The 17,836-nt window shown below is 38.9% G+C and overlaps 3 annotated features.

Annotated features, from left to right (window-relative positions):
* Nucleotides 8,483–8,984: an enhancer, noted in NCBI's record as "H3K4me1 hESC enhancer chr3:155804925-155805426 (GRCh37/hg19 assembly coordinates)". NCBI's record gives its function as "activates a minimal SCP1, AML or CMV promoter by ChIP-STARR-seq in primed H9 embryonic stem cells {active_cell/tissue: H9 hESC(primed)}" and the evidence as "EXISTENCE:reporter gene assay evidence [ECO:0000049][PMID:30033119]".
* Nucleotides 8,985–9,484: an enhancer, noted in NCBI's record as "H3K4me1 hESC enhancer chr3:155805427-155805926 (GRCh37/hg19 assembly coordinates)". NCBI's record gives its function as "activates a minimal SCP1, AML or CMV promoter by ChIP-STARR-seq in primed H9 embryonic stem cells {active_cell/tissue: H9 hESC(primed)}" and the evidence as "EXISTENCE:reporter gene assay evidence [ECO:0000049][PMID:30033119]".
* Nucleotides 15,214–15,741: an enhancer, noted in NCBI's record as "OCT4-NANOG hESC enhancer chr3:155811656-155812183 (GRCh37/hg19 assembly coordinates)". NCBI's record gives its function as "activates a minimal SCP1, AML or CMV promoter by ChIP-STARR-seq in primed H9 embryonic stem cells {active_cell/tissue: H9 hESC(primed)}" and the evidence as "EXISTENCE:reporter gene assay evidence [ECO:0000049][PMID:30033119]".

A 17,836-nucleotide genomic window follows, 5' to 3' on the forward strand; every position in this document is an offset into this window, starting at 1 on the left:
TGAGGTTGTTTATTTGAAGTTCTTCTACTTTTTAAATATTGGCACTTAGTATCTATAACCTTTCCTCTTAGTTGTGCTTTTGGTGTATCCCATACATTTTGGTGTCTTTTGTTTCCATTATTATTTGTTTCAAGAAATTTTAAAATTTCCTTCTTGATTTCTTCATTAACCTACTAATCATTCAAGAGCATATTGTTTAATTTTCATTTGTTAATTTCCAAAATTCCTGTTGTTACTGACTTCTAGTTTCATTCCGTTGTGGTCAGAGAAGATACCTGATATAATTTTAATGATTTTTGGATTTTTTAAAGGCTTGTTTTGTGGGCTAACATATAGCGTCTATCCTCGAGAATGATCCATGTGCTGAGGAGAAAAATGTGTGTTCTGCAGCCATTAAATGAAATGTTCTGTAAATATCGATCAGGTCTATTTGGTCTATAGTGCAGATTAAGTCTGATGTTTCTTTGCTGATTTTCTGTCTGGGAGATCTGTCCAATGCTGAAAGTGGGATGCTGCAGTCTTATTGTATTGTATTGTATTAGGGTCTCTCTCTCTTTAATAATACTTGCTTTGTGTATCTTGCTGCTCCGGTGTTGGGTGGAGTGCCATATACTGACACTCAAGTCACAAGACAAAGTCCTTCGTACCCTTCCCTCCCCTTTCCAGAAGCAGAGGAGTCTCTCTATGGCTACCGCCAAACAAGGTGCACAGCTAGTTCTACCTGACTATTGGTTATGTCCATTTGATTCCCCAAGGCTCTTCAGTCAGCTTGTGGTGAATGCTGCCAGGCCTGGGGCTCTGTTTTCTGGCCATTAAACTCTCTTCTGGCCTTGGACCAGAAGAGGTCCTGGAATCATGGACCCTAGGAGCCCTCTTGGTGCTGTACCCCTCTGTGGCTGAGCTTGTGCCTAAGCTGTGAGAGAAAGTCCTCCTGACTCTTCTCTCTCCTTTTATCAAGGGGAATGACTCCCTCTCATACATACAATATGTATGTATTTTATCCATGTACAATACAACATACATATACAATTATATGTATGTTAAAATTCTAGAAGTAAACCTTCTGGGTTTATATCGTACACTTTAATTTTGAAAATATGGCCAAATTCTTCTAAATAAATATTGTGCATTTTATGCTACTATCAGCAATGTGTTGATATATATATACAAAATTATATATATATATATATATATAAGAAAAGTCACTGTAGCATTATTTATGATAGTTAAAGAATTGTAAACCAGCCAAATACCCATCATATTTAAATATTAATAATTTATTATGTCAGCCATATTGTGGAATATTATGTAGCTATAAAAAGAGTAAAACAGATCCATGATAATAATAAAAATAACAAGTGGAATGTTTGTTAAAGGACAAATAAAAATGGCATCTGTTTGTATCTTTCGGGAGGGGAATTTATTGGCTGGAGGATAGAGTGGGAGAAAGACGTAATTATTATAATGTATACTTTTGTTTCATCTTTTCTACCAATGCATACATTATCTATTTTACTACTGTTAATAAAATCTAAGTCCGTAAAACATCTGTGAGTGTTGAAAATTTTAATGCAGATTTTGTAAAGAGATTTACTAGACTAGTCTTTGCATATTTCTTGGTAAGATTTAAGAAGAATCCTCCAAAGAGACTTTGGTTCTCCTCCCAAAGTTCTTTTTCACTGTCAGTTCCCAAAGCGTTCTTTCACAGACCTTTCCCCACTGGCCTGTCTTGCCTTCTGAATCTCTTAATCTCCTCTCCTCTTCTCACATGGTATTTGATTAAAATATTTCAATATTAAAATACTTCCAGATAAACCCATAGAGAGAGTTTTTTTGGAAAAAATAAACCATACAGGTGTGCTCTGTTTTGAGTAACTGGTGTTTCTCAGCAAAGGACTTAAAACTCAAAGCAGTAGTTGGAAAGCGTTGCACATCTCAAATTTGCATGGGAAGACAGAGGGCTGAGTCACCTTGCCTTATGATTAAAGGGAGCCGAGTGATTAGCTTTCTCAGGACATTTCTATGCCAGTTATTAAAATATTGTCTTTAAGATCCAAAACTATCACTTTCAGGTACACCAATCAAACGTAGATTTGGTCTTTTCACATAGTCCCATATTTCAGAATGGGAGAAAATTTTTGCAATCTATCCATCTGACAAAGGGCTAATATCCAGAATCTACAAGGAACTTAAACAAATTTACAAGAAAAAAACAACCCCATCAAAAAATGGGCAAGGGATATGAACAGACATTTCTCAAAAGAAGACATTTATGCAGCCAACAAACATGAAAAAATGCTCATCATCACTGGTCATTAGAGAAATGCAAATCAAAACCACAATGAGATACCATCTCATGCCAGTTAGAATGATGATCATGAAAAAGTCAGGAAACAACAGATGCTGGAGAGGTTGTGGAAAAATAGGAACGCTTTTACACTGTTGGTGGGAGTGTAAATTAGTTTAACCATTGTAGAAGACAGTGTGGCTATTCCTCAAGGATCTAGAACTGGAAATACCATTTGACCCAGCAATTCCATTACTGGGCTTATACCCAAAGGATTATAAATCATTCTATGATAAAGACACATGTACATGTATGTTTACTGTGGCACTATTCACAATAGCAAAGACTTGGAAACAACACAAATGTCCATGAATGACAGACTGGATAAAGAAAATGTGGCACATATACACCATGGAATACTATGCAGCCATAAGAAAGGATGAGTTCATGTACTTTGCAAGGATGAAGCTGGAAACCATCATTCTCAGCAAACTATCACAAGATCAGAAAACCAAACACGGCATGTTCTCACTCATAAGTGGGAGTTGAACAATGAGAACACATGGGCACAGGGAGGGGAACATCAGACACAGGGGCCTGTTAGCGGGTGGGGGGCTAGGGGAGGGATAACATTAGGAGAAATACCTAATGTAGGTGATGGGTTGATGGGTGCAGCAAACCACCAGGGCATGTGTATACTTATGTAACAAAACTGCATGTTCTGCACTTGTAACCCAGAACTTAAAGTGTATATATATATGTATAAATACATATATATACACACATATAGAGTGTATATATGTATGTGTATATATATGTGTATATATATGTATGTGTATGTGTATGTATATATGTATGTGTATATATATGTATGTGTATATATGTATGTATATATGTATGTGTATATATATGTATGTGTATATATGTATGTATATATGTATGTGTATATATGTGTGTGTGTGTATATATATATATATATGATCCCAAACCATGCTTGTTTGCTCTATGACACTGGGGCTGGGACTGCTAACCCCATTTCTGCTTTGCTAGCTGGCTTTCTGCTAGACTCTGTCATTAGGGGATGCCTGGTAGTTGGAGAAGGGAGAAAGACTTGCTTTCTTGCTTTCTGATTCTGAGAACATCATCCTAGCAACACATCTTTACCCTGGCAAGGAGAGTTTATTCCCTTAGTAGCAGTTGAGTTCAGTTTGCAGTTTTTCTAATACAAGCAAACCCAGTTTTATTTTATGCTCTCAGAGACACCAGTACCAGCTGGCTGATATCCCTAACTTGAGATCTGGGTGCTGTGAGTCTCATCTCTGAACTCAGGGGCACTAGCAGCAGCCAGCAGTACTTACTCCTCAGAGGCATAAGGCTCAGCTCCAAGAAGCCCCTCCTCTAATCGTCTACATATTAATAATTCCAACCTCTTCCCTTCATACCCTTAAGGCCTCCAGGTGGCAGCTTCTTACTGCGTTTGCTTCCTTTAAGAGTGCTTGCTTTCTCTAAAACAATTTTTCAGTATCGAGTTAACAATTTTTTTTTTTTTTTTTTTGAGACGGAGTCTCGCTCTGTCGCCCAGGATGGAGTGCAGTGGCCTGATCTCGGCTCACTGCAAGCTCCACCTTCCTGGGTTCATGCCATTCTCCTGCCTCAGCCTCCTGAGTAGCTGGGACTACAGGCACCAGGCACCACGCCCAGCTAATTTTTTGTATTTTTAGTAGAGACGAGGTTCACCATGATGGCCTTGATTTCCTGACCTCATGATCCACCCGCCTCGGCCTCCCAAAATGCTGGGATTACAGGCGTGAGCCAACGCGCCCGGCCGAGTTAACAATTATTTACATTAAATTCTCTCTGCTGAAATAACTAGTGAAACTAGTCCCTCACTGGTACAGCAGTAGTGGTGTGTCCAGGATCTGAAAGTAGAAAGGATGAAATGTAGGTTCTCACTGTGTTCTGCAAATAGTGTGAAGAATCCTATGTGAAACGTCCTCTCCATAAACTGTGTATAGTTGACATAGAAAGGAACAAATTCCTTAAAGAAGATAGTGCTGCTGTTTTTGTAATGTCTCACTCCATTTTAGAGATACCACAATTTTCTAGTTTTCCCACCATGGCAGGGGTCCCTCTCTTTCAGTCTGTGTTGCAGACTCCTCTCCACTCTCCACAACCTATAGTGGTGGAGTACTTAGCACTAAACCACTTTCTCTTTTCTATGTATTCTGTTTCCTTAGGTGTTTTTATCCTGTTCTGTGGCTTTACGTACCATATGCATACCAGTATCACCCAAATCTGTATCTTTAAACTCTCTAGAATTCCGGTAATAGATATCCATCTACCTACTTAGCATTTCCACTTGCATGTGCAGCTAAACTTTTGCATGTCCAGAATATTTCTCTTGACTTCCATCCTCTCAAACCCTTTGCCCACCATCTTTTCCTTCCAAGTATAATTACCCTGTTGCTCAAGCTAAAAACTCATGTGTCATTCTTGATTCCTCTTGTTCATCCACATCACACAGCCAATTCATCAGAAAGTTCTGTCTGTGATGTCTCTGAAACACATCTGATATCCAGCCCCCTCTCTCCATCTTACTTGCCGTCACCTGAGTCCAAGGCACCATGACCTCTATTCTGGACAGCCACAGTAACCTTCTGTTGGCATCCCTGCTCCATTAATGTCTCCTAATAGTCTTTCCCATATAGTAGTCTGAGAGCTAATAGCCTACTCATGCCTTCTCTTCCTTAAAACCCTTCCACAGCTTCTCACCACTCACAGAATCAGATCCAAACTTTTTTCTGTAGCCTAAAAAGTCCTCATGATCTGGACTTTGCCCAACACTTTGTCTTCTCAGATCATTCTCTAGTCGTTTCTTGTTTCTTAAATATGTCAACTTTATTCTTGCTTTTATTCTTTGCATTTGCTCTTCCTGTTCCTGAGATGTTTTTTCTCCATCTTTTCCCAGGGAGAAAAATATCTCATATTTTAGGTTTCAAGTCAAATGTCATTCCCTCAGAGTGGCCTTCCTTAACTACTAAGTTACAATCCTTCCCCATCCCAAGGGTTTCCAGCATCCTGCTATTTCCTTCATAGGAACTTCTATCCTCTGATATTATGTTGTTTACTTAAGTATGTTATAATTGTTTCCTTATATATATTCTTATTTTTATGTTGCCTGTCTTCCCTTTACCAGAAAGAAGGCAGAATATTGTCTGCCTTGTTCACTATTCTATCTCCAGCACCTAGAACAATGTCTGGCATATAAAATGCACCTAATAAATATTTAATGAGTTAATAAATTTAGACCAGAAAATTGGTAGATTTCAAATATCAAAAAAGACCCTCCTACCACAAATCCAGACACTATCTTTGGGGATTTGCACTAATCTTACAAAAGTAGTTATTAATTATCCTACTTTTGGATGAGAAAATGGAGTCTCAAAAGACTTAAGTATCTCAAGTAACTTACACAACTTTACCAATCTTATAAACAACAGAATTGGGGTTTAAATTCTGTTTCTGACTCCTAAACCTGGGCTCTATTCCCTCTGCCCTATAACAACTATGATATTTTAAAGGTGAAGAAGAGTCATTGACAAGGTATATCTATTCTGATGTTACACAATGTATAAACTAAGGGTGTATAATTATGAGGGCTAAACATTTCTTAGAAATAGTGGTACTATAATTTTCATATAGCAAGTGAAAACTAATAGAAATTGGTGATGAAGGATGCTTTATTCACTCTGTGAGAATGATCAGCAGCATGCATTCTGGGGAGTCAGGAGACGTAGGTTCTATTTCTGGCTCCGAGGCTAATTAGCTCCATGACTTTGGGTATGCCCATGACCTCACCGTATTTCATTTCTCTTGTCTGTAAGGTGAGGGAGACAGTTTTCTGGGACTTCTAACACACACACACACACACACACACACACACACACACACCACGCAGAATGTAGTATTGTAATTTGGCAATTCTGTATATGATATAAAAATGAACCACCTTAGCTTATCCCATTCAGACAATGGGAATCGTCTAAATATAAGTCAAATAATAAAGAAATGAAGGCATAGACTCACTATTCTTCCATTAAAATGTTAGTATTGCCACACGAAAGCCTATTTTTATAATTTATGATGTGTGTTCTAAAAAGAAATTTGAAAAAAAAATTAAGTAATGTAACAGTCTTTTTTTAAAGCTTGAGCTAGCTAGCTTGAGGGTGAAATGATTCCTTAAGGTCTGTTGTTTAGGAATGATTTATTATTAACATTGAAAAACAGAGGATTCTGTTTTCTTTTCTGTTACTTGCATAATGGAAGGAGGGCCTATTGGGAGATTAACCCAATTAGGTGAATGAAGTAAGACATCCTGTTTATTTTTCCTTGAATTATTTCTAAAAGGAAGCACTTGATTAAATACTCTCCATTTTGTGGCTTTGTAATTCAGCTATTATTTGGGGGAGATATTAGAAAGTTTGAGAAAAATGACTCAATCAGTTAATTAAAAGGAATAGTCACACTAAAAATTAAACTCTATGAAATCTTTGTGCATTAGTTAAGCTTCTGGGGGACCCTTGACATTCTCATGGATTTAGGGATCCCCAAAACCTGTGACTGCTGTAGAACACAGATAGTAAAGATGCTGCTTCTCTTCCCCCAAGGATGCTACTTCTCCCTTCCACCTTCAAGGGAGATAGTGGAAGAGAGAAGGGCAGAATTTCAGTAGAAAGGGCCCTGGGCTGGGACTTGGCAGTCCTGAATTCCTGTTCTACCTTTGCCAGGGATCTGCTGTTACTTTGGGCAAATGACCACCTTTCTCTGGGCCTTATCTGTAAAAGGAAAACGAAAGCAAAATACCCCTGAGACTCTGGCTGAGTCTACTAGTCTATGATTTTAGAGACAAATTTTGAGGACTTGTGTGGTCCATAGAGACTGGATAAAGGTGAGGGTGTTTGAAGGAGCTGCCTCAATAGAGGGCCATGATGAGTGAGGAATATTTGAAACTGAAAAGATGGAGAGCCCACCACTGTGGAGTCTTCTGATGGCTGTGCAAGGTCCCCACTCACACACAGGCCCACGCTGCAGGGCTACCTTTGGTTGGCTTTGTGCTCCAGATATATAAGGCTGTCTGCGGTGATTCTAACTGAGACCTGTCTAGGCTTTTCCAGGGAAGTCAAGAGAGGGTTTTAATCTGACACAGGCTATTGGCCAATTGGCTTTGCAGATCTTGTTCTGGGAGTAGCAGAACAAGAACCAGATCTCCCAGGGGCAGAGATACTAATTTTTGAAGCAGTTATATTTAATAACGTAAGACCTCCTGGGACAGAATCTGATACAAGATGTTATTTATTCCTCTTTTACAATCCAAAGTATCACATTGTTCTAGGTCAAAACTTGTCTTTATTTTCCTCCTGATTTTAATGCAGATGATATCTAATATTTAGTAGTCTTTAAGAATCCTGCCTATCAAGGAGAGAAAGAGAAAAAAGGACTATACATAGAACACCTTAGCTCACACATTTTCAAATTACATTTTTATGGGGGTGTTGATGCAGTGAAACTAAGTATTCAGATAATTATACCATCCATTTTAGATTTTTAATACAATTGTTATAGTATAGTTAGTTCTGTTGAAGAGTCCTGGACCTTGGGGCCTTTCAGAGACTTTCTAATCCATGGTATGCTGGCAAGCTGGCTCTCTAAAAACAAAAGTCCACATTTATAGCATCTGCTGATCTCTGTGGTGTAAATACTTTCACCATAGCAAATATCAAAGTATCAATGTGACATTACTGAATGTGGAATTGGGGGAGGAGATGCACAGAAGTGGCTCTTGTGGTCTGGTAGGAGCTGGTTTCAGCACACCCCTAATCATTGTCAATCAACAGATACACAGTTGCTGAGGATGCGAGGATGATGTAGGCTTATTAATGGAGGATACCTGAAAACCCCACAGGATTTAGGGAGTGGGCAGCTTCTAGGAAAAGGACTGCAGGAAAATACAGAATCGGAATGCAATCAAAATGAAAGCTGCAAGACTGAGCAAACCTGAGTTTCTGGGCCTAGACCTGCTAAATACCATCTCAGCTAGTAGACAGATGAATGGAATCAACCTTCTGAGAAACAGATGTCAGTATGCATCATATTTGACACAGGATGAAGGTGGTGTCCCAATCGGTGGAAAAGAGGCATATATATTAATCCCATATTATACATATTTATAATATATGTTGAATATACTTAAATGTATATTTATTTATACCTTTCATATTCACATACCATTATGTGACAATTATAATAATTAATATGGCTTGTAAGTTTCTGTTTTCTCTGAGAATAGAAAATGTAATCTGGTTACTACTAGGTAATTCAGTCACTTTTCATATAAACTCAATCTCTTAGGGATTTTATTCCCTCTACTTTTCCTTCACACTGGGACCATAAACTTCTCTCAGGCATGGGCATGGCCTCGGGGGATAGAGGCCCGGATCTAAGCTCATCCTCTGTCCTGTTGGCTTCATTATGATGGAGTTTGCACTGCCAGTCTGGGTGATTGATTTATCTGTCCACAGCATCTGCTCCATGTGTCCCTGGCTGAGGAAGCTATGCTCTGTCCTCCCAGAAACAGTGACTCTTCCATGAGGGGTGCTGTCCCTCTTTTGACTCGGGCCAGCCTCACTGCAGCCGGCACCCGGCCTGGCTGTCCATCGCACAGCCCCTGCTGCAGGCCGCCCTTGCCGTAACAGCAGCGAGCCCTCAGCAGGCACGCTGGCCTTTGATTCTCAGATCTTTTCAGCACATCCCTCAGAAGCCAATGGAAGGTAACCAAATCTCTTTTTCACCCCATCAGGAGCATTTGTGGGGGATGCTATGCTTAAACTGACAGTACTGCCATTTCTACTCTACTGTGGCTGCCCCAAGTGGCTCTGGGCACTGCAAACCTGAATCCTTGGAGAGTTTGCTGTTTGCAGACTTAAGTAAGCTTCTATCTCGCCACTCATTTTTTTTTGAGGTGGAGTTTCACTCTCCTTGCCCAGGCTGGAGTAAAATGGCGTGATCTTGGCTCACTGCAACTTCCGCCTCCCGGGTTCAAGTGATTCTCCTGCCTCAGCCTCCCGAGTAGCTGGGATTACAGGCATGTGCCACCACATCTGGCTAATTTTGTATTTTTAGTAGAGATGGGGTTTCACCATGTTGGCCGGGCTGGTCCCAAACTCCTGACCTCAGGTGATCTGCCCACCTCGGCCTCCCAAAGTGCTAGGATTACAGAGGCAAGCCACCATGCCCGGCCATATCTTGATACTCTTGTGATTGTCTTCGAGCTCCTCCCAGTTCAGAAAAACTTCCTATTTCCATCCTTATGAGATCTCTCTGGTGCTTCTCTGCTTTCTGGTTCATGATTTAAAATCCTGTGCCCCAAGTCTTTCAGGCTTTTGCTCTTTGAACCCAAAGCTTTTACCTCTTGAAATATTCAGCTCTTAAAAAATCTAAAGGACTTTGCCTTCAAGATTGCTGCTTCCACTCTGAATTTATAGAGCTTACTTTTGTATTCAAAGACAAGAATTTGGATATTTTTTATCATTTTGTTTGTATTTATCTGTTTTGAAATCCTTTCTTGCTTGGTGCAGTAAGCCAACATGAATTTTAGGTGTCAAAAAAAAAAAAAAACTGTGCAAAGCATAAAGATCACAGAGGTGATTTAAAATGTTTGATCCCAGGATAAGAAACGGTTTTCTAACTTAAAAGCAATAGAAAAAAATCACAGGAAAAATAGCAATAGTTTTGATTACATCAAAACTAAACTTTTTAGTGTTAAGAAAGCACATAATATTGAACTAAAAAAATAATAGGCTGGGAAGTCCATTACCCAAATATGAGAGACAAATGATTAATATACTTAATATATAAAGATTCATAAAAATCAGTTATAAACACAAATGCCCCATAAAATAAATATGCAGAGCACATAAACATAAGAAGAGATACTAATGACTAATAAAATCTTAAATATGCAAATTAGGAGAATAAATATGTTAAAAATATTTAGGTACATTCTCATATTGCTAAAATGTGTGCAAATTGATATAATTCTTTCTGGAAGGCAAATTGAAGCCAGGATCTTTGAAAAAATTCAGGCCAGGTACAGTGGCTCACGTTTGCAATCCTAGTATTTTGGGAGGCCAAAATACTTGGCTTGAGCCAAGGAGTTTGAGACCAGCTTGGGCAACATAATGAGACCCCATCTCTACGAAAAATAGAAAAAATTAGCTGGGCATCGTGGTGCTTGCCTGTAGGTGCAGTTACTCAGGAAGCTGAGGCAGGAGGATCGCTTGATCCTCCCCAGGGAAGTCAAGGCTGTAGTGAGCTGTGATTTCACCACTGCACAACTCCAGCTTGGGTGACAGAGTGAGACCCTGTCTCAAAAAAAAAAAAAATTCAAACTCTTTAATTTTGGAATTCTACTTCTAGGAATTTGGAAGTTAAAAAAAAAGATGGATATAAGGTAAAAATAAAAAGTTGGTGAGATAATAGTTCATAAATATGGAACATTCATTTGCAGAATATTATATAACTGTTAACATATTTCTAGAGTTTAAATGACTACTTTTCGGTAGAGAAAAGAAGAATGAATGGTCATATATTGCTTTTGTAATTAGAAAAAAAGTATTATTAAGCTAAGGACAGACAACTGTACCTTTTGGGTAAACTTTGAAGAAGTTTCTATAAAATGCTATTTTCTTTCAATATTCTAGTGATTAGACTATTTAGCTCTCTGTCAATAAGATAACCTCTATAATCTATAAGCATAAAATAATACAAGCTGTGAACAATGGTACTTAAAATTACATGGGTGAGAAGATTTCAAAAAATGTTAAAAATGAACACCTTTTAAAATATAAATCTTTGACATCTGAAAGAACGGTCTCAAATCTTCAGCAAGCTATCGAGTGACCCCATCTATCTGTCAAATTGAGCAGCATTTGTGTTTTGCTTTACCCTTTACAAGACATGTGTGCGCTCATGGTATCATTTCTTTGTTAATCCTCACAACACTCTGGGGCAGGAATAACTGTTATCATTCTTCAATGTACCAGTAGAAAGCTGGCTCAGGGGTCAAGTAACTTGTCAAAGGACCAAAACACCTCTTAGGTGTAGAAACATGATTCAAATCTTAGCCTCCTCGTAGGGAATCCCCAGCTCACTCCACTGCACCATGTAGCTTCTCTACAGCTTTCCAGTAACCCAGTAGAGTCCTGGCAACAAAACAGAAGTGTTAAAAAGAAACATTTTTACAAGATTTTTCAGATTTGAAGCTCCGTTTTAACTTTTGAGAATGTGATGCCATCTGGAAGTGGTATCCCATTTTAAAGCTGAGACAGTGATTCATGATTTCCTGACCCATATATACTGTTTACTAGTTTTATTTTTCCTTCTTCCAAGACATTTTCTACAGACAGGAGACAGATGGCTGAAACACTGTAACATCCAAGGCTGCTTCATTGCACGACTCCAGGAGCTCCTTTCACATCATAAACTGTGTGAAGGGCACTGTCTGGAATTGTGCAGTGCCTAGCCTGTGCAGCTGTACATGGCCCTCTGCCTTTTGTTGAGGTACTCAGCTCAGGTAGTGTTAGTTCTGAAGATGGTGGCCAGCATAGGAATCTGAATCATCACATCCTGAATTTCACTCCATCTACTATAGCCATAGCACCCTCTCTAAGGCCTAGGTGATATATATAGCACAGAAGATACTCTAAGAAAACAAATATTTGATTATTAGCCAAGCTACAACTCTCTTCCCCTAACTCAGTGGTTTTCAACCCTGGGCACACTGGCAATGTCTAGAGACACTTTGGGTTGTCACAACTGAGGATCTTGTAGGTAGAATCCAGGGTTGCTACTAAACATTCCAAAGGGCATAGGATAGCCCCCTCACAACAAAGAATTAACTGGATCAAACTGTCCTTATTAATGCAGAGCCCTAAATGGACACCCTTTCTGATGAGTTGGGCTGATCCATGTGTGAAATCTTGAGGATTTTCTTGGTTCTTTCAGTCAGGTCTGGAATAGGAACAGCTTAGGGGCTCTTTTCCCTTAAGTCCACACTCGATAGTTTCCTCTTGAAAATTTTCCATTCCCTTTGTGAGAAAAAGAAGTAGAGGTCCTTCCTGCAGAGAGCTTATCTAAATCATTCACCCAATGCCTTTTTTCCCTGTAAGGTTTGATGTAGCAAACTCCTTAGGGCAGAAAAAGCACATGGCTGGAGTAGAAGTGATGGCCTTGAGCATGCCCTGAGAGTTCTCTCTACTTTCATCCCTGAGGCACTTCCGCAGGGGGAGAAGAAGGCATGCACTCCTGTAAGGAGATGGAGAACCTGACCTGAAGCAGGTCCTTGACATATCTGTTGCTCCTCTAGTTTTATCTAAAAAATATATGTGAATTTTTATTCTAGTCTGTAATATATCCATGTTAACTTTTATAAAATTGTTTTAAATTATCAGATACTTTCCACATTTTGTTTCTCTAAGCCTTTGAATAAAATGAAAACTCCATGAACATGCATGTATTTACCCTGTTGCTTTGCTTGTATAACCATCTAGAGTTTTTCTCCATGGCCCTTCTTCTGGGGGCTTGGCAAAAGGTCCTTGGACCTTGAACTCCTAAAGGATCCTAGTTGTAAGAATCTGAGGACTCCTAGACCAAGCCAAAGTGGTGATCACAGGCATAGAGGTGTCGAGCACAGATGAAGGTCTGGCCTGTGTATGTGTCTTAAGGAGGATCAATTTCAGCATCTCTGCTCTGCATACAGGAGCCATGAACTAGATTGTGTATCATATGAAAGAGAGGAGCCTGAGAGAGCCACTTCCAACAAGGTCTAGCCAACAGACACTCAGGATGGGACTGAGAAGTTTTGACTTCAATGATTCCTCTGGTCCTGAGAAGTGGGAGGCAAACTAAAGTAGAAGCTACTAGACAGGGGCAAGGGATGCAGCTTGTGGAAAGACATACAGTTTGTGGCAAGCATTACAGCACTGGGTAAAGCTACAGGACTGTGTTCCTTTTGAGGTGTTTTCAAGTACAGCTGCTCTATTAGGAATCCATGATATAAGGAGAATATTATAAGCCTCGTAGTGACATTCCAGGGTCTAGACTGAGATAGATATGGATTTGAATTCTGATTCTGCCACTTACTGGCTCTGCAACTTCAAGTTATTTTGTGTCCCACAGACTCAGTTTCTCATCTATAGAATGTGAATAATGGTAATACGACATTTCTATTTATTTATTTATTTTTATTTATTTATTTTTTTTGAGACAGAGTCTTGCTCTGTTGACCAGGCTGGAGTGCAATGGCGTGATCTTGCCTCACTGTGGCCTCTACCTCCCTGGTTCAAGTGATTCTCCTGCCTCAGCCTCCCAAATAGCTGGGATTACAGGCACCCGCCATCATGCCTAATTTTTGTCTTTTTGTAGAGACTAGAGATGTATTTTTGTAGAGACTAGAGATGGGGTTTCATCATGTTGGCCAGGCTGCTCTTGAACTCCTGACCTCAGGTGATCTGCCCACCTCAGCCTCCCAAAGTGCTGGGATTACAGGCGTGAATCATTGCGCCTGGCTATATTTCTTAAGGTGTTTCTCCCTATCACTGGTGGGTAATGCTTCTCAGATCTTCTTCTCAGCTCTTCTCTCTGATATCTCATTTGGAAACTGATACTTTGATGACATATGTTGGGTGGGCGCAGTTCTGTCTTTTAAAAAATATCTTTATTCAATCCAGATGATGAATTTATCTGCTTGGATCACGTAAAGGGGACTGGGTGGTATTCATAATCAAAGCTTGAACATCTCTGTGGGTCTGCAGCCTTCTCTCTTCCTGGAAAGGTTAGAGAAGAAACGAATTCAAATTTCTAAATTTAAATCTGCCTGTCCTCATTATAGTGCTGAGTGGTGAGTGGGTCATTTCCTCACAGGGTATCAATGTCAAATGGCTTTTTGAAAGAACATTGAGAGATTTCTTCTTGAGTAGTCTAGTGTAAAATAGACTGATAGTCTATTTTTTTATAAGTGGACAGACTCTTCTATTTGAACACCTCTCATTCTTTTAAATATTTGGAGTACAAACTAGACTTACGTACTTTAATCAATAACATGTCCTTTGAGGTTAGTGATTATACAGAATGAAGTTTCATTGTACCAATTTTTGGATTGGAGATCATGAAGTCAATGAGAAGACACATCAGCATTCCACTCAGTGCTTTCTCACTAAAATCCAGTTTGGAATTCACCAAAAAAGCTTTTCTGAAATAATTATAAATGACTATAAATACATTAAGGTGATGAAACAAGCTATCTCTTTGGAAAAGAGCAAAGAATAAATTAGTAAAGAACTATCTTAAAATATCAACAAAGAGAATTAAAGTATTATGCTTCTCATTTTCCTTTGCTTTTTTTTCTCCAGTTTTTGTGATTGTTTAATGCCTTTTCAGCTTTAGATACTTCAGATTAAAGAAATTACTGTCTGTATTATTTCTTCTGATTCCTTGACATATTTCTCTGGGTTTCATTCCAGGAATCCTTCATTGTGAAAAGGAAAATTTGACACTATCAAAACAGAATATCAACAACATTCATTTAATTTATTTATCTCAAATTACTAAACATTTATGTGGATTCAGAGTTGCTTTGTTAAATTTGGTCTCTGAAATGTAATACTGGTCTAGGGAATCAGAAGTTTACAAGAATTGTGTAAACTTCACATGTATTAACACACTTTTGTCCTCTAAAAAGGATCCACATCAAGTTCCCAAGAATCAACAGCAGTGGCCCCCAACCTTTTTGGCACCAGGGACTGGTTTCTTGGAAGATAATTTTTCCACAGACCAGGGTGGTGGGGATGGTTTCGGGATAATTCAAGCATATTACATTTATTGTGCACTTTATTTCTGTTATTATTACATTGTAATATATAATGAAATAATTATATAACTCACCATAATAAAGAATAAATGAGAACTCTGAGCTTGTTTTCCTGCAACTAGACAGCCATCAGGGGCTGATGGGAGACAGTGACAGATCATCAGACGTTAGGTTCTCATAAGGAGCATTCAACCTAGATCCCTTGCATGCGCAATTCACAAAAGGGATTGTGCTCCTATGCGAATGCTGCCACTGCTGATCTGACAGGAAGCAGAGCTGAGGTGGTAATGTGAGCAATGGGGGGCAACTGTAAATACAGATGAAGCTTCACTGGCTTGCCTGCCGCTCACCTCCTGCTGTGTGACCTCGTTCCTTACAGGCCAGGTACTGGTTCCAGGGGGTTGGGGACCCCTGGTCAACGGTAGCTGTTGCCTGGCTGCTAGAGCAAAAGTCCGGAGTCCAGCTCACTCATGCTTTCCTTCTGCATTTGCAATTTTTTTTTTCTCCTCTTTCTCTAGCCTATTTAAGCCATCACCTTCTGCCCAATGTCTTAGCCTTCAAACCTTATAGTAGTAAACATTGCCTTCTGCTTTCCTGTCTTTCTACCAACCCAATTAGTCACCAAGCCCAGTGTTACCATCAAATATCTGTCTAAATAACAACTATATTAGAGACCATTCCTGTGAACAAAAAGTTTCAAAGTTCCATATTGCTTACACAATAATGACCCAACTTGTTTGCCTGACATTGTGAGATCTCCCTTTATTCACCCTAGCCTACCTTTGGCTTTATGTCTAATTTACTTTATGCTCCCAGGAAACTAAGATTATAGAGGTTTCCTGATTATATCCACTGCTAACTCGTGCCAATTTCTACCGTTTAATTTAAATTACTTTAAATTTAAAAAACTATACAGCAACACATGATGATTTTAGAAAACATGGAAAATGTAGATGAGCAAAATGAAAAAAATAAATCAAATTCCAGAGATAATCATTGCCAACATTTTGCTGTACTCTCTTTCAGACTTTTATCTATGCATACTTTATACATATGTAGATTTATAAAAATAGAATTTTACTACATATACTATAATCTGATGTTCAATGACTATATCATTGAACATAATTCCATCCTTATACTTTCCTATCTTGTCTATCAAAGTATTGATGTGTAAAGATATGATCTCCTATTTTGGTCACTTGTTTTTAATTTACTTTTTTTATAATTTAAAATAATGCTTCTATAAACTTTCTTGTAGCTAATCTTTTGCACACATTCTTAATTAATATTTTTGGATAATTCCTACTAGTGAGATTGTTTCTCTAATATCTTTAATGTTTTCTTATCACTCCTATTTTCAAATCTTAATAATTTCTATTTTTCTTCTTTGGGCCCCTTGTGACTTCATTCCATTTTTATGAAAGTTTGAAAATTAAGCTCAGACCTAGTAATCTAAGAAAGGATTGGACCAGAGTTAAGGACAAGATAGGAATGACTTTCCACCTCTTAGAGCTCATAATCCTTATTAATTTTAACCAGAATTACACGAGCTAACAACAAAACTTACTTTTTAGATGGTTTATATTGAGTTGGCCCTGCATCTCCTCATTTCTTTTTTTTTTTCTTATTATATTTTAAGTTCTGGGGTACATGTGCAGAACGTGCAGGTTTGTTACATAGGTATACACGTGCCATGGTGGTTTTCTGCACCCATCAACCCGTCATCTACATTAGGTATTTCTCCTAATGCTATTTCTCCCCTAGCCCCCCACCCCATGACAGGCCCCAGTGTGTGATGTTCCCCTCCCTGTGTCCATGTGTTCTCATTGTTCAACTCCCACTTAGGAGTGAGAACATGCGGTGTTTGGTTTTCTGATCTTGTGTTAGTTTGCTGAGAATGATGGTCTCCAGCTTCATCCATGTCCCGGCAAAGAACATGAACTCATCCTTTTTTATGGCTGCATAGTATTCCATGGTGTATATGTGCCACATTTTCTTTATCCAATCTATCATTCATGGACATTTGGGCTGGTTCCAAGTCCTCGCTATTGTGAACAGTGCCGCAATAAACATACCTGTGCCTGTATCTTTATAGATTTGTAATCCTTTGGGTATATACCCTTTTTACTGAATCAGCTCAGTCACTTTCCACAGAGCTATGGATCAAGTTTAAGTTTTGTTATGGTGACATAAACTTTATACATTTAGGTTTGCCTGGGTAGCTTCCAGAGGCTGTTTTTTCAAAGAGATATTTGGTCTATCATTCAGGTAATCTTCCACTGATTGGCTGTTAATTTTATTCTGTCCTATGTAATGAAAAAACATTTATTAAGCCTCTTCGGTGTAGATGGCTTTGTGTTAGGTGATGAATAGGACGGTTTCTCCCGAGGAGCTCATGGTTTAGCAGGGGAGATGGACTTGTAAATACCCAGATTCCTTCACTGTGACATGTGCAGCAACAGAATCATGTGCAAGGTAGAGGAGCTAGTAACTCTTTCTAGAGGGGTCAGGGAAGTTGTCCTAGAAGAGGTAACAACTGAGTTGTATTTTTGTAAGATAAACAGGGATTCCACAGGTGATTGTGCAGCAGGAAGGGTGGGGAAGAGAGAGCGCACTATTTT

This window comes from Homo sapiens, chromosome 3 (assembly GCF_000001405.40).
Source record: "Homo sapiens chromosome 3, GRCh38.p14 Primary Assembly".
Lineage (NCBI taxonomy): Eukaryota > Metazoa > Chordata > Mammalia > Primates > Hominidae > Homo > Homo sapiens.